At 47.1% G+C, this 17934-nt stretch overlaps 3 annotated features.

Annotated features, from left to right (window-relative positions):
- Positions 7217 to 7516: an enhancer, noted in NCBI's record as "active region_26873". NCBI's record gives its function as "activates an Ori minimal core promoter by ATAC-STARR-seq in GM12878 lymphoblastoid cells {active_cell/tissue: GM12878}" and the evidence as "EXISTENCE:reporter gene assay evidence [ECO:0000049][PMID:35858748]".
- Positions 14738 to 14837: an enhancer, noted in NCBI's record as "active region_26874". NCBI's record gives its function as "activates an Ori minimal core promoter by ATAC-STARR-seq in GM12878 lymphoblastoid cells {active_cell/tissue: GM12878}" and the evidence as "EXISTENCE:reporter gene assay evidence [ECO:0000049][PMID:35858748]".
- Positions 14858 to 14907: an enhancer, noted in NCBI's record as "active region_26875". NCBI's record gives its function as "activates an Ori minimal core promoter by ATAC-STARR-seq in GM12878 lymphoblastoid cells {active_cell/tissue: GM12878}" and the evidence as "EXISTENCE:reporter gene assay evidence [ECO:0000049][PMID:35858748]".

The following is a 17934-nucleotide window of genomic DNA, read 5'->3' on the forward strand; positions in this document are numbered from 1 at the left end:
GTCTTCAAGAAGCATTCCAGTAGCAGGAGTGAGACTCACTTAAGCAAACACATGCAGAGCCCGTCAGATGGGGATAGGGCTATGGAGGTGATGTGTGGAAGCGTGGAGCAGAGGAGTTGCTCTAGCTGTGGCACACTGGAAGGGCCTCTCAGAAAAGACTGGAGAGACAAGAACAGAGCCAGCAACTACCTGGCATTGGAAGCAGAACAAACACCAACAGGGCTTCCTGTGAAAACAAATGAAATGAGATGTCTGATGTGCCGGCATGGCAAGGGTTTAGTGAACCACAGCTGCCTTCGCCTCTTCCCACCCTCTGAGCCTCAGTTTCCTAATCTGTCCAATGGAGATAACAGAATCATACCACAAAATGCTGCTTTGGGATTCAAAAGAAAACAATAGATGTGAAAACAACCTGTAAATTGTAAACTCCGATAAAGCCGGGCATACATAGCAGCGTGCACCTATGGTCCCAGCTACTCAGGAAGCTGAGGAAGGAGGATTACTTGACCTCAAAGGTTTAGGCTGCAGTGAGCTATGCTGGGGCCACTCCAGCCTGGGTGACAGAGAGAGATTCTGTCTCTAAAAATAAAAACAAAGAAATAAAAGTGTGAAGAGAATAGCTGTTACTGTCCAAAGAGGTGCTGGATGAATGTTCGCCACCGGGACACATTGGCAGCACTTCTTCAGGAGATTTTTTCTTTTTTCTTTTTCTTTTTTTTTGAGACAGAGCCTTGCTCTGTCACCCAGGCTGGAGTGCAGTGGCCTGATCTCATCTTGCTGCAAGCTCTGCCTCCTGGGTTCAAGCGATTCTCCTGCCTCAGCCTCCCAAGTAGCTGAGATCATAGGCATGCACCAGCATGGCTGGTTAATTTTTGTATTTTTGGTAGAGATGGGGTTTCGCCATGTTGACCTCGCTGGTCTTGAACTCCTGACTTCAGGTGATCTGTCCGCCTCAGCCTCCCAAAGTGCTGGAATTACAGGCATGAGCCACCGCTCCTGGCCTCAGGAGTTTATCTAAATAGGAGAGCTGCACTTTGTCTCTTTTCCCCCAGTGGGACAGGAGCATAGTCTCCCACATGGGCCCTCAGAACCAGCTTAACCCAGGCAAGAGTCAGCGGGAAGGCCAGGCTGGTAGTGGGGAGAGCAGGAAGCAGCAGTACAGGGCCGCTGTCCTTTGGCAAGTACATGCCTTTCACCCCTGGGGTCAGGAGAGGCCCACTCCGATTTCCTCCGCAGAGCAGCCACCGCAGCAGCTGCATGTGGGATGCCCTGTATGTGAGGAGTCCAAGCAGAAGCTGGGACACAGGAAGTTGTCCAGGTGAGAGACGATGGTCCAGGCCAGGGCTGATGGGGACCTGCACTGAGGTTCTAGCTTTATATAGTGGCTGGGCACGGTGACTCACACCTGTAATCCCAGCAGTTTCGGAGGCCAAGGCAAGTGAATCACTCGAGTCCAGGAGTTCAAGACCAGCCTAGACAACATGGTGAAACCCCGTCGCTACAAAAAATAACTCAATTAGCTGGGTTTGGTGCCGTGCACCTGCAGTTCCAGCTACTTGGAAGGCTGCGGTGGAAGGATCGCTTGAGCATGGGAGGTCAAGTCTTCAGTGAGCTGTGACTGGGGGACTATACTCCAGCCTGGGTGACAGAGTGAGACCCTGTCTCAAAAAGAAAAATAAAAAGGTGATAGAGCGAAAGTACGAGAGAACATGATGAGTTTTGCCTGAGAAACTGCGTGGGTTTTATTTACTGAGCAGGGAGAAGGCTTGCAGGGGGCAGATGTAGGGGCATTCAGTAGTTCTCTTTGGGCCATGGTAAGTTTGAGGCGCCTTTTGATATCCAAAGGATGATGCTGAGCAAATGGTTTGTAGTCCTGCCTGGAACTCAGATACAAGGAAAGCAGTGAAGTTATGTATTTTCAGTATCATCAGTGCAGAGATGGTAGAAGTCAAAGGATTACTGTGTTGGTTTCTTGTGACTGTCATAGCAGAGTGCACAAATTGGGTGATGTAAAGCAACAGCTGCTTATGCTGTCAAAATTCTGGAGGCTGGAAGTCCAGCATTGGGTGTCAGCAGGAGCACCCCCTCTCCGGAAGCTCTAGAAGAGAATCTTTCCCAGCCTCTTTCAACTTCTGGTCCATCTTTTGCATCACTGGAAGTCCTCAGCCTGCAGTTGCATCACTCCATCTCTGCCTCTGTCATCAGATGGCCTTTTCACCTCTATCTATGTCCAAATCTCCCTCCTATAAGAAGACACCAGTCATTGGATGAGGGTCTACCCTGCTCCAGTATGACCTCATCTTAACCTGCTTAAATGTACAAAGACCCTATTTCCAAATAAGGTTGTGGTGGACAGGAACCTTGGAAGGACACTATTCAATCCTGAACAATTACCTAGGGAAGGGGTATAGACAGAGATGAAACCCAAGAACAGGACGTTGAGGTCGCAATGTTTAGAGGACAGAGAGAGAAGGAGCTCCCTGGTGACACAGGTAGGATGTCAGTGGGACTGAGGTCCGGAAGATGGCAAGCCCTGTTTTTTTTTTTTTTTTTTGAGATAGAGTCTCGGTCTGTCACCTAGGCTGGAGTACAGTGGCTACAGTGGCGCAGTCTTGGCTCACTGCATCCTCCACCACCCAGGTTGAAGCAATTCTCCTGCCTCAGCCTCCCAAGCAGCTGGGACTATGGACACAAGCCACCACACTCAGCTAATTTTTGTATTTTTCATAGAGACGAGGTTCCACCATGTTGGCCAGGCTGGTCTTGAACTCCTGACCTCAAGTGATCTGCCCGCCTCAGCCTCCCAAAGTGTTGGGACTACAGGTATGAGCCACCGCACCCAGCCTGATAGCACATATTTTATCTGTCAGCTTTGGTGAAGTCATCAACTGAGAGCTGGGAAACATGGCTCGGTCGAGTGCCCATTCGAAACCGATTTGGAAGGTTCTCCAGCCATGTCCAGCACCTAATGTAGCGTGAGAAATGGCTGGGCTCGATCATCATTGAGGCTATATGTCAGAGGGAGAAATGAGCAAGGGAGGTTAGGGGGTTCGCAAAGCAGCAGTCAGAATGAAACTGGGGTTTGAGGGGGCAGGAGGTGAGAGCGGGGAATGCTGGGGAGTGGGAAGATGTGGGCTGGGGAGGAGAGCCTCATCCAGGTGGGGGAATGGTTGACGTGGGAGTGCAGAGCGAGTGAGCCAGGAGGACAAAAGGCGGCGGCAGCGGATGCTGGGAATTGAGGTTTCAGAGGTAGTACAGGGCTTGGTTATAACAAAATCTAGTGTCAGCCATGTGAACGGGTGGCTGAGGCTGGTGGAGCTGAAGAATAGGAATCATAAGGCTGAGGCAGCACACAGGACTCCAGGGGGAAACTGTTCTCCTGCAAGAAAACATGTGGCTTGCTTGACTTCCACTCCCAACTCCAAATGGTAGGAAATAAAAGGCAAAGGAAAGAAAGTCAACTTTCATTGCCAGGACTTGAGGGCCAAGATCCCTGAGGCAAGGGAAGCCGGCCTGTTGTCTGTCCACCATCCAGGCTCCCAGGCATTGGCTAAGTCCTTCCTGCACACAATGGTGAGAGGCCAAGAAACCAAGAAGAGGGCAGCTGCAAAGAGGCCACACAGAGCTTCCGGCAGCCTCCCAGTGCTAGAAGGACCAGAGCCTGGAATTCTGGACCTGCCTGGGAGGAGGGGCCCAGGAAACACCTAAACTTACTTTCAGGAAGGGCCAACTGGAAATTGACTATCCCTCAGAGAGTTTGAAATTCAACTTGAAATGGGAATGAAGGAGCTAGACACTAACAGAAAGAAAAGTTTAACAGAAATAGGGACTGAGGTGGGAGAATCACCTGAGCCCGGGAGGTCGAGGCTGCAGTGAGCCGAGATTGCGCCACTGCACTCTAGCCTGGGCAACTGGAGTGACACCCTGTCTCCAAAAATAAAAAATAAATAAATATAAAAGAAACAGGGGTTCCAATAATTTACTAATTGTTATCACAGAACCAGTGAAAATTGGTGAGGCCCCGCCAACTCTTCATCTTAAGCTGGCAGCAGTTTCACTTGTTTTATTATGATTATTCAGCTTGAAATATAAAAACTTGTCACTGGATAAGATTTCGTCAGGTGCATCAAGACTTTTCCAAGAAGCACATTTGTTAAATATTGAACAATTAAAAATCTGTAGGAATTCGTCCAGGCACAGTGGCTCACGCCTGTAATCCCAACAATTTGGGAGGCGGAGGTGGGCAGATCATGAGGTCAGGAGTTCGAGATCACTCTGGCCAACATGGTGAAACCGTTTCTAATAAAAATACAAAAATTAGCCGGGTGAGGTGGCGGGTGCCTGTAAGCCCAGCTACTCGGTAGGCTGAGGCAGGAGAATTGCTTGAACCCAGGAGGCGGAGGCTGCAGTGAGCAAAGATCATGCCACTGCACTCCAGCCTGGGCAACAGAGCAAGACTCTCAGAAAAAAAAAAAAAAAAGAATCTGCAGGAATTCGAGGTGAATCTGAGATGTGCGTTTGTCTTGGTTCTGGAAGTCTTCGGTCACAGCTTCAGCTCCCTGTCTCCTGCTGGTGCCGCTGCCCTTTGGTTTCTCTCCATTATAATCTTGCACTTTTCTTAATAGAGCACTTAGCTTGACCTTCTTTTCTGGCATTTTTCCCTTTTCTATCTCAACACAATTGCCTAACATATTCTTGGGTAATAATGCTACTGAAAAAGGGAAGAGAATAATAGCGACAGAGCTTTGAGGATTAGAAACACGGGGCTAAACCTGTAAGAACCCGTGCCCCTGTTACGCAAAGAGGGAACCGAGAGGCAGAGATATTAGGGAACGTGCTCTGAAAACCTGGGAAGTATAGGAGTGAAGCCCGACCTCTTTCACTTGCAGCCTGCTGCCTCAACACCAAGCTAGGGTGGCACATTCTGGCACTTTCATCGGCACCCTGGGGTGTACATCAAAGATGAGAGAAATTCACGCCCTTGGGCCAGGATCCAGCCTTCACTTGCTGTCTTGTTATTCGTTCATTTTCTTATGTTCCGCAAATATTTATTAAGTGCCTATTCTGTGCCAGGCATTGTTAGGAGCTGGGCTACAGAGACAAAGGAACTCAAGGGCAAGACAGTCTAGGAGGAAGGCAGACAAACAGACAGCAGACAATTACAATGCCAAGTGGCAAGTCTGTGGGGAAAGGGAGGACGTGGTGTTCTACAGCAGACCATTACCAAACCGAAAGACGTCAGGGTGAAACTTGGAAATGACCCAACTGCTAAATAAGAGAACAGCTCATTGTCATGACCCCATAGAAGAATGTTAATCAGCCATTTAATTTCTGGAGACATGAAAATGGTGGTCCCAAAATGATGCTCCTTGAAAATGGCTGGCTGTGGAACAGAATCTACATCTGAGACCCCTTACATTTTTTATAAACCAAAATTCTGCTGAAGGTCGTTAGATGTGCTGAATACCTTCTGTTTGCAGATTCATGAGCTGCCTCAACGGGCACCTTGACCTCTGGCTTCTGGTGGGCTTGGACCAGTGGATGGCACCCCTGGGCCACTGGACCGAGGGAGGAGGAGAATAGAAGTTGGGAATGTGTCCTCCCCGTTCCCTCCCTGCGGTGGCCTCAGTGCTACTGGGTACCCTGGCCACTGCTGGCAGGTCCTACAGGCTCTGGGAGCTGCTTCCTTCACCTCTTCAGGCCGAGGGAGCCGAGGTGCCTTGCTGTCACCAGCTCCAGGACTCTGCACCATCCTCTGGGGCTCCCTACACTCGTAAATAGTCCCTTTATTAATCTCTCCTCAAATTACGTAAATTATGGGTGCCAACTATCTCCTCCTGGACCCCTGGTGAATAGACACCTGGTTTGTGTGGGTCATTTTTGTTGTTCTCTCATGCGTGTTGCCAGCTTTGTATAGTGGTCACCTTTGGGGGTACGTGGCCAACTCATGACCCCTCATCTTCTCTGAGAACTGTCCCCCAAATCGCAGGGGTGGGCCCAGCACCCATGTTTGCACCAAGTGCCTGTAACGGATTGGGCTGGAGTGGAGATCAAAGGTCAACCAGGCCAGCCAGCTGCCCTCTCCTAGGTGCTCGGTCAAGACTGGAGAAAGCCCAGCCAGTCTTGGTGGACGGACGTCCTGTGAACAAAGAAAGAGGAAAAGCCAGTCTGCAGAGGGATTAAAGGGACGGCCTCGGACCTTTGGACCCTTGTTTTGTGAGAGGCACATTTACAAGTTTTTTTAATCCAAATTAAGATAATAGCATACATATTGTTCTGCCATCAGTTTTACAACTCGCTATAGTGAGAACAGTCTTCCTTATCATGAAATAGGCTTTTACAACATGATTTTTAATGACTGCAAGATTTTTGTTGTATGGCTATTATCATGATTTACATCTAGAACCTTGTCCAGGATTAAAATCAATTGTATTGGTCTATATTTTGTTGAAACACCTGCCTCTTTTGGAACTCAGGACCACAGTTGCTTGTCTTTAGTTTTCCTGCACTTTTGCTGTTTTCCAGCGTTCTCTATTTTATTTTATTTATTTATTTTTTTGAGACAGAGTCTCACTCTGTTGCCCAGGCTGGTAGTGCAGTGGCACAATCTTGGCTCAACACAACCTCCGCCTCCAGGGTTCAAGCAGTTCTCAGGCCTCAGCCTCCCAAGTAGCAGGACTACAAGGTGTGCGCCACCATGCTCAGCTGATTTTTGTATTTTCAGTAGAGACAGGTTTCACCGTGTTGGCCAGGCTAGTCTCAAATTCCTGACTTCAAGTGATCCACCTGCCTCAGCCTCCCAAAGTGCTGGAATTACAGGCATGAGCCACCACATCCGGCCTCCTGCATTCTTTAAAGCGCCTCATACATCCATCAGTGTCTTCTGTACATCGTACTTCCTTCATGCTCTGAAATCGAATTCGTTCAAATCAGATGGTCACATGACCTCCTCAATAAAAATTAACATGGATTGAGTGTAGCTCTGTTCTAGGTCTGAGCTATCTCATTAATTGTCACAACGTCATCTCGTTTGCCCTTCAGATGGCCTGTGGGCTTGTTTTTATTTTCTCCGCTTAGTGCCGGACACCATCTTGGAGGACGAGTGTGGGTTTCCTGCGTTAAAGCAGCCGGCCGGGCAGAGCTGAGCAAACCCCAGGACTTCCGACTCAGAATCTACACAGAACACAGCCTCCCTCGGACTGATGTTTGCTCTGCCCTTCACAGTTTGAAGATAATGATCCTGGATAGAATAGAAGCCAAATAAGAGTTCAGCAGCTCTGTGTTTTCATCTGTTTAATGTCACCATCTGTCCCAAGCGGGGAGCCTCTTCTTTCTTGTTCCTGTTTTTCTGAGCATGACTAAAATCTATTTTAAAAGTTGACTCAGCATGACTTGCAAGCCTTCGTTCAGGATGGTTCTTAGCTTTTGTGACACGGTTTAGCCTCTGCCCCTCTTTTCTGTATGTCCTGGGTTATGATCAGTTTAGCAGCAGGGAAGAATCTGGGTTTGAAGTTTGGCTGACCTGAATTTGAATTGTGAATCTTGGCAATAGACCAGTCAGCAGCTATGTGAACTCAAGTGACTCCATCTTCCTGAGCCTCTGCCTCCTTGAGTGACAACCACCACCCCTGCCGTGCTCCATGTCCCTGTGCGGCTCCTCCCACTCTGCATCCGGGCTGGCCCTGTGCCTCGCTTTGCCAACAGAAAGCGCCAGAATGATGCTGTGCCACTCCCAGTCTAGGCCACGAGAAAACCTGGTGGCTTCTACTTTTGTACTTTGGGAAGCTCTGCACCATTGAGGAAGAAGTCTGTCTGCCCTGCTTCTCCACCTCCAGGTGAAAACGCTACATGGAGAGGTGTGTAGAAGAGGGAGAGGCCCAGCCATCCCCAAATCCCAGCACAACCTGACCTTCCACCTGTCCCTGCCAGGGCCCCAGACCCGAGTGAGCAGTGCAGGCCAGTCCCCAGGTGGCCGCAGCCTCAGTGGACACCACGTGGGACAGAAGACTGTCCCACTGAATCTAGTCAACCCTCAGAATCCTGGGGCGAACTGAATGGCTCTCTTTAACCACTGAGATTTGGGATGGTTTGTACACAGCAACAGGTACCCAAACATTGTTAAATGGGAGGAAAAACCAAGGCTTATAGCGTTTAGCAAGGTGCCTGGCACACGACAAGACGGGAGCTACTCTTATTTGACTTTGTCAAAACTGTGCTGGGTTGAATGCTCCTTTGAGACTAATTCCTTGAACACACACTTTGTTTTTTGGGTTTTTTTGTTTTGTTTTGGTTTGGTTTGGTTTTTTGTTTGAGATGGAGGCTCACTCTCTCGCCCAGGCTGGAATGCAGTGGCACGATCTTGACTCACTGCAACTTCCACCTCCCAGGTTCAAGCAATTCTTCTGCCTCAGCCTCCCAAGTAGCTGGGATTACAGGCACCTGCCACAATACCTGGCTAATTTTTGCATTTTTAGTAGAGATGGGGTTTCACCATGTTGGCCAGGCTGGCCTTGAACCCTTGACTTCATGTGATCCGCCCACTTTGGCCTCCAAAACTGCTGGGATTACAGGCGTGAGCGACCGTGCTTGGCCCTTGAACACACATTTTGGACAGGAAAGTCTTGCGTAATCTCAGAATCATCCTCTATCTCCCCGTGGCACCATGGCCAGAAGGGAGTTGTTCTCCATTCAGTCTCCACTCTAAGATATTACACTGGCAGCCAGGGAGGTTCAAGGTGGATCAGGGCCTGAACCCACTGCCATAACAGTGTCCTTTTGACATCTCTGTTGCCTTCTAAATCAGTGCTGGGGTTCCCACAGTTCCATGACCTATAACAGGGAGTTTCTTGTGGGCTGCGAGCCCCTAGGAAGATGACCCTCTCTGGTGAGACCAGCTTCCTTCCCCACAGCTTGCCTTGCCTGTGCAGAAGGAGTGAGGCAGAGGGTCTGCAGGCTCTACTCGCCCCCTTGCTTCACAAAGTATTTCCACCTGTATTCGTGAAGTTGACTGCTCCATCACCTGAGGTCTGCGTAAGGAGAAGGTGGAGCTGGGACTGCAGTCTGGCTTGGCCAGGGCTACTCCAGAAGTAGTGACAAGCACAGAGGCTCACCCAGGAAGGTGCTGGGGTGCTGCTGTCCATCCGGTGACACTGGATAACATTTGATTCTGAGCCCGTGTCACCTCCCTGGAACTGTCCCGACATGCAGGAGTCACGATAAACCATACTGTAGTCATGTTAAATTATTTGATCATTATAAAGATAAAACTCTTCTTTTGCAGTCATAGTTTGCAATTGACAGCTATTTTCATAGTTAAAACATCACTTTCTTAAATGATTAACACCATACGTTGCGACTTTGGTGCACTGTGTTGGAGTGATGGTCTGTTTTACCTTTCACGAGCTAATGAGAGAAGAACAGCGTAACATGTACATGAAGGTTTGCAGCAAGTAAAGTCCAATGATATTAACATCACTGAGCAAACGCAGGTTTCCCAGCAGTTTGGATACTTTAACGTGAAGATAAAGTGAAAACGACAGTAAGAAAGCCTAAGTTATGGTCAGACCATGCTTGAAATTGCACAAATGCATCATTTCCAGCATTCATTTGCTTTCCTTCCACAGCCTATGCTGAACTGAGATTTTTTTTTGTCTTTCTGCTGGGATTAATAACCAATTTTAATTTCTATTCCTGAGCCTGGCAGTATTAAACTAGGTATTTTTTAATGTAGATAACAACATCACCCTATTGCTAACTCTATTTGAGCAATGGTTTTACAGTGTGTAATGCTATCTCACTTAAATTGACATTTCAGGTTGCTTGGTAGCAGGATCTGGTTAAATACAAGGGTTGATGAATGTAAACCAGCTAACAAAGCCCTTACGTTAATCATGACATTTTGCAAAATACACTGATATGAAAAGACATTATCTATATTATTATTAAAGCTAAAAATACTAAAGCAGATTAAACATTAAACCAGACCTATGACTGCATTATTTTTTCCCTGTTAAAACAAACTTTAGAGATTGTATTTCAGCCAAAGAGCCTCATCCCTCACATTAAATTATTATACTCTACAGGGATTTGAGGTTTCGTTTGTACATATGTTTTCCTAGTTAAGTACAAGGAGTTCAACCTTTCACATACTTAAAGTACTTTGCATTTGTGTATTTAAAGTACTATTGCAATAAAAATAATGTAAATTTACACCAGAGGTGCATTTCTGAGCTGGGGCAAAGTGGTCATCTACAGGAGGGGTGGGGCGTGGAGGGAAATGGCAGAGGGGAGGGACGATATCGCCACCTGCCACCTGCCACCCATCACCTCCTAGCAGCTCCCAGGAAGCTTCAAGGACTGCCAAGGAGATCGTTTGTGCCACCCTGGGGCCCCATCAGGTGGAGGGAGGTGTTTGGACGCTGGGATCTCAGGGATCCTCTGGACAGGGACTAAAACACAAGGAACAGTGTTTTGTTTTTATTTTTGTTTTTTGAGATGGAGTCTCGCTCTGTCACCCAGGCTGGAGTGCAGTGGCACCATCTCGGCTCACTGCAACCTCTGCCTCCTGGGTTCAAGCGATTCTCCTGCCTCAGCCTCCCGAGTAGTTGGGATTACAGGCACACACCACCACAGCTGGTTAATTTTTGTATTTTTAGTGGAGACGGGGTTTCACAATGTTGGCCAGGCTGATCTCAAACTCCTGACCTCAAGTGATCCCCCTACCTCGGCCTCTCAAAGTGCTGGGATTACAGACATGAGCTACCACACCACTCAGCCAGGACTGGTGTTTTTATCCCTGTCATCATCACGCACACCTCCCGGTGTGTCCTTCCTCAGGCTGGCCCCGGAGCTTGGGGCGAGGGTGTTGGACAAGGGGATTCAAATGAGCAAATGCCACTGGGCCCTAGGGCCCAAAACAGTTCTTCCTCCTAAAGATCTAATACGGGAATAGACAATGAGAACTGTGTAATCCCTTCTGCTTCTGATCTTTCATAACTACCAGGAATATCGTACACATGGAATGCTCAAATACAAAGACAGTCTTTTCTCAGGTTCTGGTGAAAATATCTAACCCCCTCTGTTCTCATTCATTCACTCAGCAACATTTGTTGCTGTTGTTGTTTTATTTTGTTTTGTTTTTTGAGATAGAGTTTTCCTCTGTCACCCAGGCTGGAGCACAGTGGCGCGATCTTGGCTCACTGCAACCTCCGCCTCCCGGGTTCAAGCAATTCTCCTGCCTCAGCCTCCTGAGTAGCTGGGATGACAGGTGTGTGCCACCATGCCTGGCTAATTTTTGTATTTTTAATATAGACGGGGTTTCACCATATTGGCCAGACTGGTCTCAAACTCCTGACCTCATGATCCACCTGCCTTGGCCTCCCAAAGTGCTGGGATTACAGGCGTGAGCCACCGCACCTGACCTCAGCAACATGTTTTTAGGAGCAGGCTGTCAGCCCCGTGGGCTCCCGAGGTGGTGGGGTCACGGGTGCCTCCTGGAGGAGCCACAGACACCAGCCCAGGTAATGGGGGACTGCAGGGAACACCCAGCAGGACACAGAGGACGTCCAACTGTGGACACTGGGGCGGCATTTCCAAGAAGAGGCCTCTGAACTAAATCTGGGATAGGAGGACAAGAGGCCCTGCAGGCAGAAAGGCACCCAGCCGGGCACACGAGCCACCACAATGCGGGACAAGGGAGCAGGTGGTGAGGCGGGCACGGGGGAAGTGCAGTCGGTGAACCAGCAGCCGGCCAAGGGTGGCAACAGAGGTCTTCAGGCAGGCAAATGAGTCTCTACTTCGACGATGACACCATAACCCTGGCAACAAAAGTGGAGGAGGACAGAAACAGGGAGAAGCCAGTTTGGCAGCTGCTGGAATAGGTGGACGTGGAAGCAACGCAGGCCGGACCAGGGCAGCTCCATATTTCTGAGGTCACACCTAGGGCTCCATGACTCAGTGGGTTGGGAGGAAAAGATGGAAAAAGATAAGAATGATGCAAGGTTTTACCTTTAAAGGTTTTGACCTTTAAAAACCAGGTGAGTACTGACATAATGGGGGAAGAGAGAAAAGGGGGAAGTTTCTGAGTAGGAAGAGAAAAGGAAGAAAGTTCAGTTTGTACCTGTGAAGTTCAAGACGACTGATAGCAAGACTAGATGGAGTGGAATAGGTGGGTAAGGAGGTGAGAGAGGGATGTAGGCTTGAATCATTGGCATGAGCATGAGAAGCGATGCCATGGGAATGAGGGCAATTATCAAGGGAAACGTAGAACAAAGATGGCAAGTGCGTAGAGCACATGGCCCCACTCCTGCTCTCCGTTGCCCATGTCAGGCATTATCAATCAATCACAGCACTCTTCACGCACAGCCAAGGGCTGCAGACATCACTGGAAAAGGATTCCTGGAAGCAGGAATGGTCTGCAGCGTCAGATGCCGCGGTTAGCTCAAACAGGATGACGTCTGAAACAGGCTGGGGGATCAACATCTGGGAAGGCATTGATCTTTTCTTACCTCTCTCAAAGAAACTATTTTTTATTGTTGTTTTAATATTATGTTTATATTTTCTTTTATGAAAGTAACCTTCCAAAATTTGAAAATACTGAATCACACAAAGAAATGGTGAAATTATAGGTGATAATTTCCAGTCTTTTTGTGTGTGTGTCTCTACAGCTATACATAGTTGCAATCATACTGTATACACAATTTTTGTGTATTTCCTGATTTTTCACTGGATATTATAGCATTTCCAATTATTTATTTACCTTTTCTCTTCACTGTTAAGCATATGGGAAGTTTCCAAATTTTGTTGTTAAAATAATGTTTGTAATAAACTATTTTAAAACATAGTTTCCTTTGATTTTTAATATTTACTTAGAATAAATTTCTAGAAGTGTCCGAAATAAACATTTTAAGACTCTTGATATAACAAAATGCATTTCAGAAATGTTGTGCTGATTGGCACTCCCACCAGCAGAGAATAAAAGTATTTAAATGACTGCATGATTTTTAACTATCTTGTTTTTTTTCTTAAAGTGATGCAAATCCCTTTTGGAAACCAGAGTATAGTATAATAAACATACACACACCTAACATATATTTATATGTGTGTTATTTGCATACAATGTATATTTGTATAACTGTATATTTGTATACACATATATACAAAGAAATATCTTTCTCCAAATAATGTTAGTGATGGGGCACCAATATGAACGCAAAAGCCTTTCATCATCTCTTCTACAGGACAGCCATCATGAAACTAATTCCTTTCTCCCTTGTTTAGGGGAAAGGAAAAACAAACTAACATTTATGGAGCAAATTCTTTTTGTTGTTGTTGTTGTTTTGAGACAGAGTCTCACCCTGTCGCCCAGGCTGGAGTGCAGTGGCGCGATCTCAGCTCACTGCAAGCTCCGCCTCCCGGGTTCACGCCATTCTCCTGCCTCAGCCTCCCGAGTAGCTGGGACTACAGGCGCCCGCCACCAAGCCCGGCTAATTTTTTGTATTTTTTTTAGTAGAGACGGGGTTTCACTGTGTTAGCCAGGACGGTCTCGATCTCCTGACCTCGTGATCCGCCTGCCTCTGCCTCCCAAAGTGCTGGGATTACAGGTGTGAGCGGAGCAAATTCTTGACCTGGTATACCGTCAGTTCTTAAAAATGAATCAAGAAATGTGCCACTCTACTAGTGTCCATTTCACTCTTAGAGCAACTTGCACATGATGTAAGTAATATTTTCCTAGTTTTACAAAGAAAGGAAATAGACTTAACAAGGCTAATTCGCTTCCCCAAGGGCATGCAATTAGTAGGTGGTGAAATCAGAATTTACACTCACTCCCGTCTTCATTGAAACGTAGTGCTTAATTTCCTGTGAGCTGCACTGGAGAGAGCTCTATCCTTGAAAGGCAAGATTTTCTTGGTTCTTTCAAAGATGACATCAGAGGGGTGGTGCCTGCTGTTTTCTAAGACTCACTTCTGGTTTCTGGTTGATTAGTTCTTTAGGAGAAGGCTCCCAACCCTCAATAGGAAGCCCAGTCTCCAAAGGTGGCCAGAACACGGTCCCCTCTCTGTGGGCATTAGCCTGGATAAAAGCCAGCTCTGAGGTCATATTTATTATATGATTGTGTAATAAAAGCTCTTTACTGGTGAATTGGCCGCTGGCAGCATTTTCCTGAGAATTCGAGGGAATCAAGTGTACAGAATAACAAGAAAAACAGCGCCTTAGGAAGCGTCCCAAAGGAATGGAGGGAGCACCCGCCATAGGTGCCAGGGACACCCGTGGGTCGCGCCTGTTTGCCTGCACTCTCAACTCCCTTCCTCTAGCTGCTGGGTGTTACTTACTCTGCCAACAATTTGTTACATTGTGTTTTTTAAAACACTGTTCAGGCCGGGTGCGGTGGCTCACGCCTGTAATCCCAGCACTTTGGGAGGCAGAGACGGGCGGATCACAAGGTCAAGAGATCGAGACCATCCTGGCTAACATGGTGAAACCCCGTCTCTACTAAAAATATAAAAATTAGCCGGGCGTGGTGGCGGGCGCCTGTAATCCCAGCTACTCGGGAGGCTGAGGCAGGAGAATGGCGTGAACCCGGGAGGCGGAGGTTCCACTGAGCCAAGATCGCGCCACTGCACTCCAGCCTGGCGACAGAGCGAGACTCCGTCTCAAACAAAACAAAACAAGAAAACACAACACGGTTCAGATTGTCACTGCGCCCTGTGATGTGTCCTCTTTGCCGTAAGGAGTTGTTGTGTAGGTTTGGGAACAAGGGGTAGGGGCATCGCCTCTCCTGCCAGAGGGCGGTAGGACTGTCCGATGACACCTGGTTTCCATAGCACTCCCGACAAGCCCTAGGAGGCTGTTCTCCTTACACATAATTATTCTAGATCTCCCTCTTGTGGACCATCTATGAAATAAAAGACACCAGTCTTTTTTTTTTTTTTTAACAGAGGCTTGCTCTGTTGCCCAGGCTGGAGTGCAGTGGTGTGATCTCGGCTCACTGCAGCCTCCGCTTCCTGGGTTCAAGTGATTCTCCGGCCTCAGCCTCCTGAGTAGCTGGGATTACAGGCGCCCACTACCACACCCAGCTGATTTTTGTATTTTTAGTAGAGACAGGGTTTCACCATGTTGGTCAGGCTGGTCTCAAACTCCTGACTCCACCTGCCTCGGCCTCCCAAAGTGCTGGGATTACAGGTGTGAACCACGGCCCCCCCGCCCCCCCGCCAAAACCAATCATATTTAATAGATACAATGAAGAATGTTATAGGTTATAAGGAATTAATTTCTGTGAGTACTATTTCAACATGTAAGACCATTAGTTTTTTTGTTATGAAATATTACAGACTTTTTAAATGTATATAGAGAATAATATAAAAATACCCATGCACCCACAAACCAGCTTTATCAGATCTTAACATTTTGCCCCACATTTACTTCAGATCCTTTAAAAAGGTAAAATAGATACAGTTGAGGGTCCCTAAATATATCCTCTCCCTAAAGTAATCATGGTTCTGAATTTATCTGTATTACTCCCATACATATGTTTATACTTCTCTACATGTATGTGTGCCAATACAATGCACACTGCTGTTTTATATGTTTGAAATTTTATAAGAAGTTACTGTCACACTGCATGTATTATTCTGCAATCTGTTTTTCTCCCACAATATTATACTTTTGAAGTTTTTCCTTGTGTTTCTGTTTCATTCATTTTCCTCTTCTGTATGCTATTGGTTGTATAAATATCACAACATATTTACCAGTTCTCTTATTCTGGGACATTTAGGTTATTTCCATTTTTCCTCATAACAAACAATGCTGTGGTGAACACACTTGGCCTTGCCTCCTTGTCTGTATATGGGAACTTTTCTAGAATATCCTAAAAGGGGAGTGCTGGCTCATTATACTGGGCTTCTTCAGCTTTACTGCTCATAGAGGATGGTACTACGTTACCTTCCGACCGTCAGCAGAGCTCTTTCCTTTCCTGTCATCTGTCCTCCCAGTGGGCAGCCAGGTGGAAGGAGCAGTAGCCACCATTAATCGAGCCTTCACCATGTGCCAAGCACCAGGTTACACGAATTGCCTGAATTTTCTTGTTTTAAAATGACAACAATCTTATGGGGGCAGCATTAGCAAGCCTGGTTTACAGGAAATCAGAGAAGTCCCGGACGCTGCCCAAGGCCACACAGATAATGAACTGCAGAGCGGAAGTGAAACTGATGCAGCCTCACCTGTCTGATCCCGAGCTGCTATTTGACCACTGGGCTATAAAGATGGTGAAAGACTTACCTGTAGAATTCTGGGATGGCGGAGGACACATCTTCCTAGTGAAGTCTCTAAGCCAGTTTGGTGAGAGCTGAGAACGAAGATCAGAAGAAAGAGGCTGGGTGCGGTGGCTCATGCCTGTAATCCCGGCACTTTGGGAGGCTGAGGCAGGCAGATCACCTGAGGTCAGGAGTTCGAGACCAGCCTGGCCAACATGGCAAAACTCTGTCTCTACTAAAAATACAAAAATTAGCTGGGCATGGTGGCACATGCCTGTAATCCCGCGACTTGGGATGCTGAGGCATGAGAATCACTTGAACCCAGGATGCAGAGGTTGCAGTGAGCGAAGATCGCACCACAGCACTCCAGCCTGGGCAACAGAGTAAAACTCCATCTCAAAATAAATAAGTAGATAAAAATAGTTCGAAGAAAGAAGGAATAAGCCATTTAAATGTTTTAATTATGAAAGTCATTATTATACGTTCAAAAGAGTATATTTAATGTTAATGTATAAATAAGGAACAATAATAAAATGAACAGATGGCAAGAAAGGAGTGAGAGAAATGGAAATTAAAGGTATCTAGATACCTAAGAAAAATAGACTTCAGTGTGAGAAAATAGCAGTGGAGGATCTGACAGCATGCATCCGTTTTCCTTGCAATTACTCAGGCTCAGCGAGTGTTTTTCGACAGTGCAGGAGTCTAAAGCTGCTTTGCCGTGTGCTCAGAACAGCTGACCTAAATCTGGCAGGACAGAGGAGTGGGGACCATCACATCAATGAGAAAAGGTGGAGTGTGCACCTGCCTGGAGACAAAGCAGAAATGGAAATAAGGGCCAGGTGGAAGACAAGAAGAGGGAAAAGGAAGTGTATTCTCCAGCTGGTCTCTCTGCTCAGCCCTGCAGGAGCTGGGAATTCCTCCTGAGCTCCCTGGGGAGCTGTCTGTTTTGCCCTGGTTTGACCAGAGCCTGACCTGAGCACTTTGCTTTTATTTCTCCCTGTTGTGTGTGTGTGTGTGTGTGTGTGTGTGTGTGTGTGTGTGTGTGTGTTTGTTTGTTTTTGAGATGGAGTCTCGCTCTGTCGCCCAGGCTGGAGTTCAGTGACATGATCTCGGCTCACTGCAACTTCTGCTTCCCGGGTTCAAGCAATTCTCGTGCCTCAGCCTCCCAAGTAGCTGGATTACAGGCATGTGCCACCACGTCCAGCTAATTTTTGTATTTTTAGTAGAGATGGGGTTTTGCCATGTTGACCAGGCTGGTCTCGAACTCCTGACCTCAAGTGATCCACCCGCCTCAGCCTCCCAAAATGCTGGGATTACAGGCATGAGCTACCGGCCCCAGCCTCTCTCCTTTTATTTTTAAGGAACTAAGTAATGCAAAACTCAACGGGCCTAGTATGCCATCTGGTAGTGAACGTCTAGTTGAATTAAAGATGAAAAGTGCTAGGGTGTTTGTATTGTTTCGACTAAGACACAGAGGTATAAGTTGTATTTTAGAGTTGTTCATGTTTACTTTACTTGAAAACGAAATGACTTCCAAAATAGAGGAGTCAAAACAAACCAGAAGTGAAAGTTAGCAAGTATTACAGGAAGTGGAAAGGAAACGAATGTGTTGCTATGGAAGTGAAACTGCTTTTTAAACAGCGCATCAAGAGCAGAGTGGGTAAAGCAGGTAGTTTTCTTGGCA

This window comes from Homo sapiens, chromosome 7 (genome assembly GCF_000001405.40).
Source record: "Homo sapiens chromosome 7, GRCh38.p14 Primary Assembly".
Lineage (NCBI taxonomy): Eukaryota > Metazoa > Chordata > Mammalia > Primates > Hominidae > Homo > Homo sapiens.